This window comes from Homo sapiens, chromosome 5 (genome assembly GCF_000001405.40).
Source record: "Homo sapiens chromosome 5, GRCh38.p14 Primary Assembly".
NCBI lineage: Eukaryota > Metazoa > Chordata > Mammalia > Primates > Hominidae > Homo > Homo sapiens.
The window spans coordinates 179,254,357-179,269,789 of record NC_000005.10 but is presented as its reverse complement, the minus strand read 5'-3'; the positions used below and the strand labels follow the sequence as shown (position 1 = coordinate 179,269,789).

Genomic DNA, 15,433 nt, shown 5'->3' with positions numbered 1-15,433 from the left:
TCCAGGGACACTGTGCTGGGGTACAGGGACAGGGCACCCTGTGGCATTGTCCTCTCTGGTGTGTGTGCATCTCATCCTGTGTGGGACTGTTGAGGAGGGAGTCCTCACGGAGCTTGAAACAATAGGAACATTGATATGGTTTGTCTCTGTGTCTCCACCTGAATCTCATCTTGTAGCTCCCATAATTCCCATGTGTTATGGGAGGGACCCAGTGAGAGATGATTGAATCATGGGGGTGGGTCTTTCCCATGCTGTTCTCATGATGGTGAGTGGGTCTCACGAGATCTGAGGGTTTTAAAAACGGGAGTTGCCCTGCACAAGCTCTCTCTCTCTCGGCTGCTGCCATGTGAGACGTGCCTTTCATCTTCTGCCATGATTGTGAGGCCTCCCCAGCCATGTGGAACTGTAAGTCCAATAAACCTCTTTCTTTTGTAAGTTGCCCAGTCTCGGGTATGTCTTTATCAGCATTGTGAAAACGGACTAATACAAATGCCTCTCTCACAGCTCTGTGGGCCAGAAGTCTGAAATGAATCTCACTGAGCCAAGATCAAGGGTGGACAGGGCTGTGCTCCCTCCAGAGGCTCCAGGGGAGAATCTGTTTCTGGCCCATCCCCGCTCCTGGGGGCTGCCAGCCTCCCTTGGCTTGTGGCTGCATCATGCCAATCTCTGCCCCCGGGTCATGTCGCCCCCTCCTCTTCTGACGTGTCCCTGTGCTTCCCTCTTGCAAGGATGCCTTGATTACATTTAGGACTCACCCGAGTAATCCAGGACAGGCTTCTCATCTCAAGAGCCTTACTGCAAGCACATCTGCAAAGCCCTTTCTTCCCATAGAAGGTACCCGTCTCAGGTTGCAGGGATCAGGATCCAGCATCTTTGGGGGCACCATGCAGCCAGCTACAGGATGTGAATGGCCCTCACGTACAAGGCTGGCCACGCAGTGCACAGCACACCCGGGAGGCGCCCGTCTGGGTCACGCGGAGGAGCAGCACTGTAGGCTTCACTTAGGCCTCCCCAGGGCATATAGCCCAGAGGCACAGCCCAGGCAGGCCCTGGTCCTGCTGCCTCCCTCACTGGACCCTCCACCCTGTCGTGTGGGAGCTCTTCCCTGCATGTCTAAGTGCCAGTCTCAGCCTGGCAGTCCTCCCCCACCGCCCGCGTTAAGGGACCTGGAGCGGCTGACTCCAAGACCACGTGCACAGAGAAGCCAACCCTGTGCTGACACTGAGGGCCTGTCTTAGCTTCCCAGAGACTGACCTTGGGACTCTGTGAAGGTTGCCACACAGTGAGAAAGACCCCGAGTCACGTGTTGAGCATGTGGTCTCTGTTTCAGACACACAGTGCCATTTGCAGAAAGACAAGAGCTGCAAACTCAGAGCCTGCAGGGCCTGGCAGGCAATGCCAACAAGGACAGCAGTGGAGGAAAAAAAGATAATTGCACCCACCCTTGGCCTGGCTTTCATTTCTCTCCTTTTGATGGAAACGTGGAGACCAAGAATACATCTCCACTAAAAAGAAACAGCAGTGGGAATGCAGCCACACGTGGTGTCCAGCCCTGGCCTTGCCATGGGCACAGGGCGTCTGGGAGGCCCTGCAAGGAGGGACAGACCCTCCTCAACTCCCTTGACCTCAATTTGGTAGAAGTTGGGTCTGGTGCAGCTGAACATCCTATCAAGAAAATCCAGACATCAGACTTTTTATGTGAACTTTCCTGATGTTAAAATGTGGCTTAAAATTTCTGGAATGAGAGGATGAACTGAGAAGGCTCCAGGAATCCAGCCACGGCGCTGAGCTCAGTGAGTCGGCAACAGCTGGCTTGGCAGGGCCCAGGCCGACCCGGGTACGAGAGACAGCCCCTATCACCATGCGAAAGGACCAGGCCTCAGGGGTCTGGGGAGTCACTCAGGAAGTGCCTGGTTGGAGACACAGAGACAGGTCCTGGCACAAGGACGCTGGCCAGGTCCAGGGCTCAGCCAGCAAATCCAGACAAAGCCCTCTTTCCACAGAAGCCTCCACATCAGCTCTCTGCCTCCAGCCCTGGGCCCTGCACACCCAGTGGGAGCTGTCATGCCTGGGGTCCCCTCCCGTGCTCACTATATAGACCAAACAAAACACGGTCCCCCATTGGCTACCCATGCTTTCTGTGATGCAGAGGTAGAAGCATCTTCTGCCCTCCTCTGTGGGCTGCTCTCCTGGGGCTCGCCCCGGCCTGGCCTTGGGACAGAGGAGGGGCAGGTGCTTCCCATCCTGGGGAACTGCTACCAGGCTGCTGTGCACACACCCTGCTGGGCTGAAGGAAGAGAAGTCAGACAGCAACGTGCCAGTGACCTTGGCTGCCTCCACCCCAGACACCGCCGGTGCCAAGCCTCTGCCTGCTGCTGTCAGGCTGCAGCATCCTCCCTGACGGGCAGACGAGGCACGCCACCACGGGAGCCTCTCAGCCTCGCTGCACCAAGGAAGGCCCTCCAGGAGACAGAGGACAAGCGCCGGCACTGGGCAGCTCCTCCATGTGGCTGAGCGTGGCTGCCACCTGCAGCCCACAGCCAGCCCTTCCCCACCAGGCCAGGAAGAGCCCCTCCTGACCCACAGTCTCCACCCTGTGACTTTGCCTTGAGTTGGGTAGGAGTTTTCCAGGCCGCAGGGGATCCTGGGGGAAGAGTGGGCGGCGGGGGTGGGGGCGGACCTCAGGCATGACAGTTCCCCCTGGGTGTGCAGAGCCCAGGGCTGGAGGCAGAGAGCTGTGGGGCAGCCTCCATGGAAGCAGCAGCCTTGAATGACCCAAGGTGGGGATGGCGCCCTCCAGTCTCACAAAGAGTTGAGTGTTTCAGCAAGCTCGTACTGGTTGCAGTGTGAGGGAGGCTGGTGGGGGAGGCTGGAGCAATGGCACAGGAGAGAGAGAGGAGCTCTGTTCTGTCAGACCACAGGACTGGGGAGCAGGCGAGACTCATCCATTCAGTGGCGAGCAGATAGCCAGCCCCACTGACACAGCGGATGTGAGGCTTGGCCCAGGTGGGGGCTGGGGGGCCCAGGATGGGGCAGGAGGGCCGTGTGCTTTGTTGGGGGGTGCCAATTTGCTGAATGCCAGGTCAGAGAGCCTTTCTGCCCTGTAGCTGTCGACGTCCATCTCAGCTTCCTGTGGCTGCTGTACCAGGTTACCCACACCTTAATGGCTTAAAACAGCACACCTGCATTCCTCACAGTTCGGGAGCTCAGAACTCTGAAATAGGATTTTAGGGGCTAAGATCAAGGTGCTGGCAGGGCTGGTTCCTTCGGGAGGCCCCAGGGCAGAATCCATTCCTGGCCCCTCCCAGCTCCTGGGGGCTGTTGGCGTTCCTTGGCTTGTGGCAACATTGCTGCAGTCTCTGCCTCCCTGGTCACGTGGCTTCTCCTCTTCTATAGCCAGCTCTCCCTCTTAGAAGGACACTTGTGATAACATTTAGGGCCCGCTGGGACCATCCAGGTTACTTTCCCCATCTCAAGACCCCTGATTTAAACACATTTGCAAAGTCTCTTCTGCCATATAAGGTAATGCTCACGAGTTTTGGGGGATTAGGACATGGACGTCCGGGGGTCATGATTCAGCTGACATGTCTAAGTGTTGAACCTTGGGTCCTAAGGGAGAATGGAGAGAGGGCTTTGGCTGGATTTGCAGGGTGAGCCCTGGACCTGGCCAGCGTCTTGTGCCCAGACCTGTCTCTGTGTCTCCAACCGGGCACTTCCCAAGTGACTCCCCAGACCCCTGAGGCCAGGGCCTCTGGCGTGGTGATAGGTGCTCTCTCTCATACCCTGGTCAGCCTGGGCCCTGCCAAGCCACTGTTGCCGACTCACTGAGTTCAGCGCCTCGGCGCTGGATCCCTGGAGTCTTCTCAGCTCATCCTCTCTTTCCACCCTGGAGCTGAGCCTGCAGCCCAGGCCCCGGGAAACCCAGGGAGAAGCACTGATTGTGAAACCCGAGGCGGCTCCGGGAGGCGTGCTTCAGGGCTGAGCGCACCCTTGGCAGACGCCGCGGCGCTCCTGTCCTCGTGCAGACCGGGCCCTTGGGATGGCTGTTGGAGATGCCAGCGCGGTGATGTGGCCCACGCGGAAGGGGTGGGCGGGGGCCGGCGCTGGGAAAGCCGAGGCTGCACATTCTCCGAGGCTGGAGTTGCCTGGGGTCAGCCGGGGAGAGCAGGAGGGGCCAGCTCCCGGGCCTGGCTGGCTCTCTGGCTGGAGTCTGCTGCTCAGAGCGCTGCCCTGTGGGTGCTTCCCACCCCCTGGGCTGTGAAGGCAGAAGCGAGGCTTGCAGCCCCAGCGAGGGCTGGGCCCCCCTTATTCCACAGTGGAGACGTGCCAGGGTGTGCTCCCCCTCCACGGCGTCTGGGCCTGGCACTCCGCCTGACAGCCCCCACGTGCGCAGCAACTCCCCTGTGCCTCCGACATAAATTTAGTCCCTGAGTCTCAGGCTTGCCCTTCCCCCGCCACCTCTCCCCTCCCGACATGGTTTCTGGTTCAGGGGTGGAGCCGACCAGGTAAATGTGGCTGGCAAGGGCCTGGATCTTTGGTGGAGCACCGTGGGCAGGTGACAAGCCTGACCCGGAGGATGGTGGCCTTGGCCCTGGCTTGGCTGCAGCCCCAACTCGAGTGCAGGGGACAGTTCTGGAAGACCGGCCAGTGGTTCTGAGGAGCTGCATTAGGGCTGCTCCCACAGATGCTTCCAGCACTAGGTGGGTGAGTGGGGTGGGCAGCGGGCAGTTTGGTGCAGGGTTCAGTGTGCTCAGCCCCACCCGGCATGCTGCTGTTGGTGCAGGGGTCAGTGTGCTCAGCCCCGCCCGGCATGCTGCTGTTGGTGCAGGGGTCAGCGCTGGTGCAGGGGTCAGCGCGCTCAGCTCCGCCCAGCATGCTGCTGTTGGTGCAGGGGTCAGTGTGCTCAGCTCCACCCGACATGCTGTTGTTCTGGCTCACTAAGGGGCCCAGAGCAGCTCACCCAGCCCCTCAGGATCTCAGAACCTGGGTGCTGAGATCTCCACTGTACCTGGGTGCAGTGGCACAGGGGCTGCTGGAATTACGCAGGGCACAGGGCGCCTGCCCAGTGCTCACTGCGACACTTGCTCTCCGTCCCCTTTCCCTCCTCTGCCTCGCCATCTTCCACAGACACAGTGAATTGATACTTTCTTTCCTTCCCTTGGATCTGTGTTGGGAATGTCCTCCAAAGAGCTTTTCGGGTTTTGCACAAGGTAACAGTCCCTGGCATGCAGACAGTACACGGCTCAGGGGTGAAGCTGTGATCTGCTCACGGGGGCATCTGGCGTTTGATCAGCAACTGTGGGCTGGGCATGCCCCCTCTTTTCAGGTCCCCAGCATGGCAGAGGCAGGCTTCTGGGAGAGAGGCATGTGTCCAGGGCATCTTTTCATGTCTGTGACATCTGTGCCTTGGATGTAGGAGCCTGCTGGCTGGGGTGAAGTTTGGGCAAGGAGCAGTGGGACCTGCTTGGGACCCAGGTGAGGCTTCCTTCATGCCCTGGCTGCCCCATGGATGACGGTGAAAGAGACATGGGCACCCTGCATAATGGGGACAAAGGGACTGCATCCCATAGTGGGTCCCTAGACAGAGGCCTCTTGGGGATAGAGAGGGGTGGGGCGACAGGTGAGAGGCGTTGGGTACCAGCATCAGGGCTGCAGAGGCAGCTGTAGGGACATCTGAAGGGGACAGGAAGCTCTTCCCCAGCAGCAGCGAGGACAGGCCTGGCTCAGAAACTGCATTTGGGTCCGAGGTCCAAACTCTGCCAGTTTGTGCCAGCCGGAGGCCTCTGACCACAGGCCCCATCTCCTCTCAGAATTCTCTGCAGGTTGGCAGACACTTCAGCCAGCTCCAAGCCTGAAATATTTTCTATAAAAATTTCCAATTTTCTTTGACCCGTTTCTCTTTGAAATTAATCCTAGGCAGCGCTGTGCTCTGGGCCCTGAAGGAGCTCTGAGCGGGGAAAGGTCGCGCAGTCAGATGGGCGTGCTGGCGTCTGTCTTCTCTCTCTCCTGCTCTCTGGCTTCATTTTTCTCTCCTTCTGTCTCACCTTCTTTCGTGTGCCTGTGCACACACACGTTTGGGACAAGGGCTGGATTCTTCGGCTGGGATGTCTCTCAGAGCTCTTGACTTGGTCCCTTTGGCTGGGGCTTGCCGTGAGGTGTGGGCTGCGCCACGAGCACAGCTGGTAGAGAACCCGGCCAGGAGCGCAGCTCACGCCTCCCACGCCTCCCATCCCAAACTGTCGGCACACCCAGAGAGAGCCTGCAGGACAGGACAGGAGGTGACCTGGGCACTGGGCCTGTGTGGAGAGGTGGCTGGTGCGCTGGTCTGGTTGGGAAAAGGCCGGGCACCTGAATGCCATGCGGGTTCATTAATGCTCAATAATAATGCTGCTCCCCAAATCATGGGGGAATAATGCTGCTCCCCAAATCATGGGGGAATAATGCTGCTCCCCAAATCATGGGGGAATAATACTGCTCCCCAAATCATGGGGGAATAATGCTGCTCCCCAAATCATGGGGGAATAATGCTGCTCCCCAAATCATGGGGGAATAATGCTGCTCCCCAAATCATGGGGGAATAATGCTGCTCCCCAAATCATGGGGGAATAATGCTGCTCCCCAAATCATGGGGGAATAATGCTGCTCCCCAAATCATGGGGGAATAATGCTGCTCCCCAAATCATGGGGGAATAATGCTGCTCCCCAAATCATGGGGGAATAATGCTGCTCCCCAAATCATGGGGGAATAATACTGCTCCCCAAATCATGGGGGAATAATACTGCTCCCCAAATCATGGGGGAATAATAGCATTAGCAGCTCTACTGCTTAGGGGGAGACTGAGGCTCAGAGAGGGCACCTTGCCTGCTGCCACAAGTGTATTTTCCTGCATTCACTCGTCACGTTCTTGCTATGTGTCCACCATGTGTCTGACAGGACTGGGTGCTGGGGCTGTAGCAGCGGAGGAACCCGATCGAGTCCCTGTTCTCTGGGCTCACAGCCCCGCAGGGGAGACCTGGTGAGCAGATGCTCGCAGACAGTGGAGAATCCTGTGAACAAAGTAAAACGGGGTGAAAGGGCAGCGTGAGAAGGCAGGTAAGGGAGGGAGGCGCCCCAGGTTGGTGATGATGGGAAAGCCCAGCCCTGGGAAGGGTGTTCCAGGCAGAGGGAACAGCACATGCAGGAGCCCTGAGGCTGGAGTTACCGCAGCGTGACCAAGGGGCAGAAGGAAGAGCTAGTACCTGGAACTGAGGACGTAATGGGGGAGTGGGAGGCGTGCAGGGCCGGGAGGGATGGGTGGCACTCATCGCTTTGAAGGGACGGTCACGGTACGGGGTGAGAATTCATTCCCTGTGCGGTGGAGGCCTTTGGAGGGTTTTCGGTGGACGGTGTGGAAGCAGGGAGGAGTCCCGGTGACAGATGGCGGTGGAGGCAGTGGGTTCAGGATGAGTTTGAGGTGGAGCTTCCGGGACGTGGTGTGAAGGAAGGAATCAAGGACACATCCTGCCCCTGAGAGGTCACGTGGCTGGGAGGCTGGCTGGTGGCCTGAGGCTGGCCGGGCAGGTGTGCTGGTGGGGGTGGCCGGGCAGGTGTGCTGGTGGGGGTGGCAGGTTAGGTGGTCTGGGCCACGTGCAGGAGTCAGAATTGGCACCCATCACTCTGACTCCACAGCTGCCCGCTTCCACTGCTCTGCACTGCCCTGGCCCAGAGGGAGGTGTTTTCCCAGGAAAGAAGGTGCCAAGGCCAAGACCCATGTGTTCCCAGACTCACGGGGCGGGGGCAGGAGCCCCCAATGCAGCCCCACAGGCAGCCAGGCCCTGGGATGCACTGCCACCTCCTCTTGCTCCGGGAGGCAGAGGCTGTGCTCTGTGGGGCGGGCTGTCAGGGACAGTGTGAGGTTTGGGGTCCCATGGACGTGTGTGCATCCTTGTTTGTCTAGCAGGACCGGTCCAGCTTCCCCTTGCCTGCCACTGTGGGGAGGGACCCCAGACTGGCCGGGATGAATGGATGCAGGAACTGTGGCCTGCACGTACTTAGGAGTGTGCAGGGCAGGGTGTGTGGCTGCCTCTAGGCCTTTGCAGGCAGAGCCTTCCTGTCCACCCCAAGGGGCCGCAGGCAGCGCTACCAGCTGTTCCCCACACAAAAGCTGCCCGAGACAGCTGGAATGCTCCCTGCTCCTGGTGCAAACTCTCTTGAAACTCAGGGGTGGGGACATCCTGGGAGCTGACCTCAGGTTCTGTTCCTGCAAATAGGTATCTGTTGCTGACCCGGCAGATGGCGGCCTGAGCCAGCCCAGACGCGCTCGAGCCCTGGCCCTGAGCAGCCATCAGGGGGCACCTACTGAGTGACTAAATGAATTAGGAAATCCCAGCGCTTAACAGACTCACCACTCGGGGCAGAGCCAGACTGGCTCCCACAGCAGCTCCTGGTTTCTCCAAATCCTCACCAGCACGGGGGCTTTAGTGTTTAATATTTTGCTGCTCCGGCAGCAAAGCGGCGTTGCTTTTTGCGCTAATTTGCGCTTCTTTGGTTACTGGCGAGGATGAGTGATCTTCCCTGGGTTTGATTACTCTGCATGTCTCCTATTCCTAAGTCCTTTGCCTGTTTATCTCCTGGGGTCTTATATATTGGGATAAGCCCTTTATCTCTTTTTAGATATTGACTTTCTGTCATGTTCGATACAAGCTTTTCCCCAGGCCGTAGTTCCTCTTTCCTTTCCAGTTTTGTTAGCGTTAGTTGCACAAAAGTCTGTTTTTCTGTAGCTGAGTCTGAATGATCCTTCTCCTGCCCCGTTGGAGCCAAGTTTGCGTTCAAGGACATGCCCATTCACCGAGGGCCTGCGCGAAGGTGGGCACTCTTCATGGTGTCATTTAATAGGCACGGTAGTCCTGGAAGCAGAGAGAAAACTAAGGTGCAGGGCTACCACTGTCCAAGCAGTAGCGGGAACAGCAGGGAGCAAGAAGAACGTGACGCGTTCCTGGAGCACTTACCGTTGACCGCGTCTGCCAGCACGCTGCAGGTACATCATCTCCTAGGATTCTTGTAATGAGCCCCACGGTGGGTTGGTGCTTTTGCTGTGCCCACGTTACAGATGAGGAAACTGAGGTGCCGACGGTCGCACAGATAGTAAGCTGTAGAAACAGTGGGAGCCAGGCCTTTTGACTCCTGCATCAGGAGGGAGGAGCAGGCTTAGAACCCAGGGCTGCTGACACCCAGTGCAGTGCCCTCCTGTCCCCGCTCAGAGCCTGGGCTGGCAAAACCCGGTAGCCTGTGACCCCATCTGTTTGTTGGACAGAGGGCCTTCCAAGCACCAAGGCCTGGAACTCCACTTAACGGCTGCAGAAACTGGGGCCCAGCGAGGGTGAGTGAGGATGTGTCTCCAGGTCACTTAGCACGTTAGCTTCGGGGAGAATCTTTTGCTTACAGTGGAATTTGCAGCATTTTGAGGAATGCCTGGCACACGGTTGGTGCGTAAATATCCGTGAAAAGAAAGAATAAGCATAGTGCCTAGGAAGCCCGGTCGCCCAGGAGCTCACTCCGGGAGCAACAGTTGCTCCCTGCAGGCATTGGAGGGCTTGGCACTGACGCCTCCTGTTGTTGCCACAGTGTCAGGGCTGCAGACTCAGGTTGGCAGCTGTGGGTGGCTACTGGTCCCATGGGCCCATGGGACATTGGGTGGCCCTGGGCCTTTGCTAGTCCCACTTCCTCACACTTGAGCAGGACTGACTTCGCCGGCTTGTGACCCATCCGGCAGGGCCCTATGCCCACTTTAACACTCTGTCATTCCTGCCTTAGAAGTCGTAATCACTTTTTGAACAAGGGACTGTGCGTTTCCATTTTGCACTGTGCCCTGCAAATCAAGTGGCCAGTGCTGTTCATCACTCTTTCTTCTGTGACTCTGCTTCCTCCCTGTGGTCTCATGGAGCTGTGGTCCAGGCCCCGAGGTTGAGGACACAGGGCACTGCACAGTGGCCAAAATTGGGGGTGCCCAGTAGACACGGGCTCCCTTCCTTCCAGGCCCAAGCACCAGCACTTTCTGACAGTTAACTGTCTGTCCTTTATTTGGGAATGTCTGATGCCAGACTGCAGATGGCGAGGAAGATGGCCCTGTCCATGCTGGAACGACAGACCCGGTATCAGGAATGTGCCCCTGTGACTGCCACAGGCCTGTTTGGTGCCTGAGGGCAGCAATGCGTGAATCCCAGCCTCTGCCCTGGGGATGCCGTCGGGCTGGAGCACTGCTCCCAGCGTGCCTTGGCCACTGTTCCCTGCGCGGTTGTCTCTGGACATAAAGCACCTGTGGAATCCCAGGGCTGCTCCCCTTCCTCTCTCCCTTGATTCATCCAACAGATCTTTACCCGGCACGCACAGCAGGACCGGGCACTGGGCCAGGCTCTGGGACCAGACAGGCACAGCCCTGACCTCATACAGCCCACAGTGCACTAGTCAGTCCACAAATACCTGCACAATGAAAGACTTGGGAAGTGCCACAGAGTGAGCCCGCAGTCACTGGACGTTGGGCTGAGGCCTGGAGTGTGGGTTGCAGTTCCCCAGGAGGAAAAGGGGCCAGGGCAGCAGATGCGAAGTACCTGAGGGGTGAGGACGGGGCTTGTTTGGGGGTGTGGCAGGAGGGGCAGGGTGAGGGCCTGAGGGGACTGGAGGTCAGATCACGATGGCTTCTGTGGGCTCCGTCGTGGAGGAGGGGCTGTGCCATGCAGCAGGTGGCATGGTCTGGTTTCCGAGGAGGGTGAGCACGGAAGAGGCAGGGAGCCGGCAGGAGGCTGCTGTCCTGTGTGCAGGGAGAGACTGCGGCCTGGATCAGGTGGCCATGGGAATGAGAGCAGCGGCCGGATCAGCCCCTCAGCGCCATCGTGCAGGAAGGGTGTTGGGAGTCCTGGTAGGCAGTCCACAGGTTGGTCAGAGGGGGATACTCCTTGCCTGGCAGAACCGTATTCCCATTCCAAATCACCGTGAGGCTGGGAGGACCCAGATCACAGCCCCACCCGGCTGCCTGTGACAGCTCCACCCCTGTCTGGACCTCAGACCTGTCGAGGTGGCGCTCGCTAGAATCATTTCCTCTGTGGGATCCGGGCCTGGGAAGGTCCCTGTGTCTGGCCCTTTTCTCAAGGACCTTTCCCAGATCATTCTGGACACATATTTGAGTCCAGCTGCAGATTCCTAGCTGCGAGCAATGCTGCCCAGGCTTGAGCCTTTTTTGGACGACTGCAGGGACTCCGTGGGGTGTGCCATGGGGGCTGCCTTCAGCCTCCTCATGCTCTGCCTTTGACAATTCACGTGGCAGGAGCTGGGGCCGAGGCTGGGGTGGCCAGGCTTGGAGGGATGGAGTCAGGAGAACAAAGGGCTGAGATGGCTCTGCAAGTCTGGCCAGGCGACGTCCAGCAGGGCAAAAAGGACTAGGTGCTGCCCAAACCACAGCAGGAGCACCTGGTGGGCTGCGGGGAGGAGCTCAGGGGTCAAGTTGACGAGGAGTTCAGTACACATTGTCTGGGTTGGCGGGGGGCGGTCTGGGGGGGTCAGGCTGGGAATAAGAAGCATGATGGCCTGCTCAGGTCTGCCCACCCAAATCAGAGCCCACAGCCATGGGCAGTCCCAGCCCCAGCGTGTGCAGAGGGCTCTGGAGGGCAGAGCTGGATAACACTGGCCCCAGGAAGGCCAGAGCCCCCAGGATGAGAGCATCTGTCCTCTCAACCTTGCCTGGAGCCTGGGGGTCAGGCGTTCGCTGAGGACAGTGGTCTCGTATGGGCACACTGATGGGGGCCTGGCAGGTGACGCCAGCAGAGATCACTGGGCCCAGGTAGACACGGGGTCGGCCAGCAGCAGGAGGGCCTCCAATTTTATAAGAGAAGCTGGAAATTGATTTTACTTACAATCTCTTCATTTTAAACTGTTGGCAGCTAATTCAAAATTTGTGAAAGCCGTGTAAGGGTTGAGCAGCCCGGGGCAGTGGCCGGGATGGGGGTCAGGAGGCGGCCTCAGTGCTGGGGACCTTCACTGGAGCCCACGGCGCTCAGGACCGAGCTTCTTGGATGTGGCCAGGGCTGCCTCGGAGTTGAAATGTACTTCAGAGGAATTTTTATTTTCCTTTCGGGAATGTCAAGAGAGGCCTTTCCAGCGGTTCCGTTTCTGTGAGGCGAAACCTGCGGTCGTCCTGTTGTTCTTGGAGGCAGCGATGAAGCCCATCTGTAGCGCATCAGCGGGAGCCAGCAGCGGGGAGGGCGCAGGGCCCCAGCCCAGGCAGACAGAGCTGTTGGATGCGGCACTGAGGGAGCAGGCGTGGCGCCGGGTTCGGAGCAGCCCCTGGACTCCCCGGGCTGGGCGGACAGACCCCCGGCTGGTGCATCTGGTGCCCAGTTCCGGGTCTGAGGTTCTGTTCCCCGGGCTCCCGGCACCTATACCCGTGCCTGGATGTCCTCCAGGCCCCCGCAGCCTGGAGAGCAAACGGCCGATGATGGTCTCAAGAGGGTTCTGCCCTTGTGTCCAGAACGTCAGGTGCCTGTGCTCCTTTGTTCTAGGCAATATCCCGGGAGCTCCCAGCATTCTTGGCCTTCATCACCACGAGGACAAAGCTGGGCTTGGATTTGTCCCGAGGCCTTGAACTGGGAAGGAGTGTGGGGACTCACAGGCCTGTAGGAACCACCTCGGCCACCTTTGAAACTCACAATGTGGGCCCTTGGTGACAGAGACCCCGGGGACCAGGCCTGGGCCTCCCTTTCTTGGTGTCCTTGGTGCTCCCCATGGGCTGTGGTGACCCCAGTGATGGGCCAGGCAGCCGGGGCCGCCAGTGTGGGCCTGGCCTGCGGAGTCCTTGCTCTGGCCTGACCTCAGTCTTCTCGTCTGTATGTACATCGGGGTGCTGGACTAAAGCCAGGCCTCAGCCCTGCAGCTCTTGGGCGGCCTCGCCGCCCCACCCCGCAATGTTTTATTTGACTCGTACAACGGCTTCAGAAATGTTGAGTGTACACTTAAAAATCAGGAGGTTTCACATGAAAATCTCAATTTTCAGTTCCTTCAGAAGGCCTGGCCACCCTGGGCGTGTTCCTGCCAGCAGCACTGGGTGGGAGGCTCTGTGCCTCCTCTGGATGGGCGAACACAACCCCTCCCTCCCTGCCGATTCGTGCCTGGCCCCCCCACTCATGCTGGCCCCGCCTGCCTGGTTTGCAGTGGAGTGTGAGACTCCTGGACTCTGGTTGGTAGTTACACGTACATAAACTCTCTCCGTCTCTCTCTCCTCTCTCTCTCTCACACACACGCAGGCATGCACACACCCATGGTCAGAGCAGACACATCCACATCTTCATCCATGTAGGAAATGCTGGAGTGAACCGAGCCGCACCCAGGAGCTTCCCTGAGCTGGGCACCAGGAGCCCAGGGTCTGTCCTGTCTCTGGATGAGTCCTGCTGCCTTGGCCTCAGCTGAGGCCTCAGGCCCAAAGCTCCATGGCAGGCCTGACACTATTTTCCTTATAATAAGCCCCCGTCCTCTTTCCTGTTGGGCACCCGTGTCCCCAGGGGCGGGTCACAAGATGACAACTTGGGACCTGGCGGCTTACTGTTCTGTGGGCTGAGCTGGCTGCTGGGCCCTGTGCGAAAGGCACCTGTGCTCCCACCTGAAGGAGCCTGGGGCCTCTGCTCTGAGGGCAGAACAAGACCCTCCCGGTCTCCCTGTGGGAAGAAGGACCGTGTCAGAGACGCTGTCCACGGTGGACCAAGGCCAAGCTGCGGGAGAGGCTGGGGACAGAGAAGGAGACTGGTGGGTACCTGCCCATGCTCATGTGTTGGGGGTGTAGGCAGACCCCAGGGCCTACCAGAGCAGCCAGTGGGGAGCAGCCAGTTCCTAGGCCCAGCAGCATCTGTGCAAAGGGGTCCAGTAGGGTCACAGTGCCCGAATTGTGTCACACACTCCAGGGCTGCCCAGCCCTGCCTGCTGCTGCAGAGCCCCTGATCCCCGAGGATGAAGACACCAGGAAGGAGCAAGAAGTGGCCCCTGTGCCATCAGTGTCTGTGCCGTGCCACCCCTGCTTGGGGGCACATTGGTTTTCCACATGGTGTCCTTTGAATGGAGGTGAGGCGGGCCCCAGCCAGGCCATAATCTTGGGAGACGGCTCTACCTCAGGGCTTTGCTGACCCCATTCTGAGTCAGGCCCCAGCCAGGTCTTGGGAGATGGGACAGAAAGTGAGGGGACCCCAAGATTGAATTGTAGGAAGGATCTGAACTCACTGGTGGAGGCAGAGAGGGAAGATGGGGATGAGGCTGATGGAAATGCAGTCTGCTCACAGGCACAAAGGCCACATCGGCAGCCCTAGCCCTGAGCCCACCCCACAGTTCCTGACCCCCAATCCTCACCCTCTAGAGATGACCTGTGGTCAAGCATGACCGATTCTGCCCCAAAAATGTGTATAAATGGCAACAGTGACAAATGACGCTGCTATGGTCTTGCCTCTGACTTTGTTACCCGGTTCACTTGCCATGGATGTGAAGGATTCACTTTCCAGTATCAGAGTCTTTCTGTCTACCCATTCATCCATCTATCCAATCATTCATCCATTTATCCATCTGTCATCCGTCCATCCATTCATCTATCCAATCATTTATCCATTCATTCATCCATCGTGTATTCATTCGTCTACCCACTCATTCATCCATCCATCTATCCATCCATCATTGATCTCCATTCATCTACTTACTCATCCATCTACCCATCCCCTATCTACCCATCCATCCATCCAATTATTTATCCATTCATTCATCCATCATCCATCCATCCATCCATCATTCATCATCCATTCATCTACACACTCATTCATCCACCCAATCCATCCATCCATTCATCCAGTCAGTGTCTGCAAGCACCCCAGGCCAGCGCCCTGCTGGGCACTGAGTATGAACAATCTGGTCTCTGTCCCTGAAGAGTCTGGCTGGGGGAAAAGGCAGACTCCCAGATGAACCATGACAAATGCTGCTAATAGGCTGCTTGGCAGCCCTTCCTCATTGTGCCCTGTTGTGTTTCTTTCAGCCAAAATATATTTCTGTGCATCTTTGACGCCATCAACAGTTGATAGGAGAGTCAGGCAGAGGGGGCTATGGGCTTCAGGGACAGTGAGAGGGAGTGTGTGTGTGACCTGGTAGCTTAGAGAATATTCTTGTGGGCTTAATCTGCACGCCCCCCCGACTTCACCCATCTGGGCCTCTTCTGACCTCCTACAAGCATTTGAGTTGCTTCCTCTGACCTTTTAAAAATCAATGGACTATAATACATATGAGTATGAAAGTGTGTAATCCAGTGGTTTTTGGCAGTGTTGTGCAGCCATCATCACCATCTAGTTCCAAAATGTTTTCATCACCCCAGTGGGAACCCTGCACCCAGAGCAGTCACTCCCCATTCCCCTTCCCAGCTCATAGTGACCACTAATCTAC

At 58.0% G+C, this 15,433-nt stretch overlaps 1 protein-coding gene across 4 annotated transcripts in view, besides 2 other annotated features; it reads left to right on the top strand.

Annotated features, from left to right (window-relative positions):
* The window catches only part of ADAMTS2 (ADAM metallopeptidase with thrombospondin type 1 motif 2), a 234,609-nt gene that overhangs the window by 75,672 nt on the left and 143,504 nt on the right, over nucleotides 1-15,433 (top strand). The window contains exon 1 of one of the 4 annotated variants that reach the window (XM_047417896.1): nucleotides 324-10,594. The exons of the other annotated variants lie outside the window; for them this stretch is intronic. The gene's annotated coding sequence lies outside the window, so the exon portion shown is untranslated. Of the gene's footprint in view, nucleotides 1-323; nucleotides 10,595-15,433 lie in introns of those variants that run through there. 4 annotated transcript variants of the gene reach the window in all.
* Nucleotides 3,631-4,524: an enhancer, noted in NCBI's record as "H3K27ac-H3K4me1 hESC enhancer chr5:178692267-178693160 (GRCh37/hg19 assembly coordinates)". NCBI's record gives its function as "activates a minimal SCP1, AML or CMV promoter by ChIP-STARR-seq in naive H9 embryonic stem cells {active_cell/tissue: H9 hESC(naive)}" and the evidence as "EXISTENCE:reporter gene assay evidence [ECO:0000049][PMID:30033119]".
* Nucleotides 4,525-5,420: an enhancer, noted in NCBI's record as "H3K27ac-H3K4me1 hESC enhancer chr5:178691371-178692266 (GRCh37/hg19 assembly coordinates)". NCBI's record gives its function as "activates a minimal SCP1, AML or CMV promoter by ChIP-STARR-seq in primed H9 embryonic stem cells {active_cell/tissue: H9 hESC(primed)}" and the evidence as "EXISTENCE:reporter gene assay evidence [ECO:0000049][PMID:30033119]".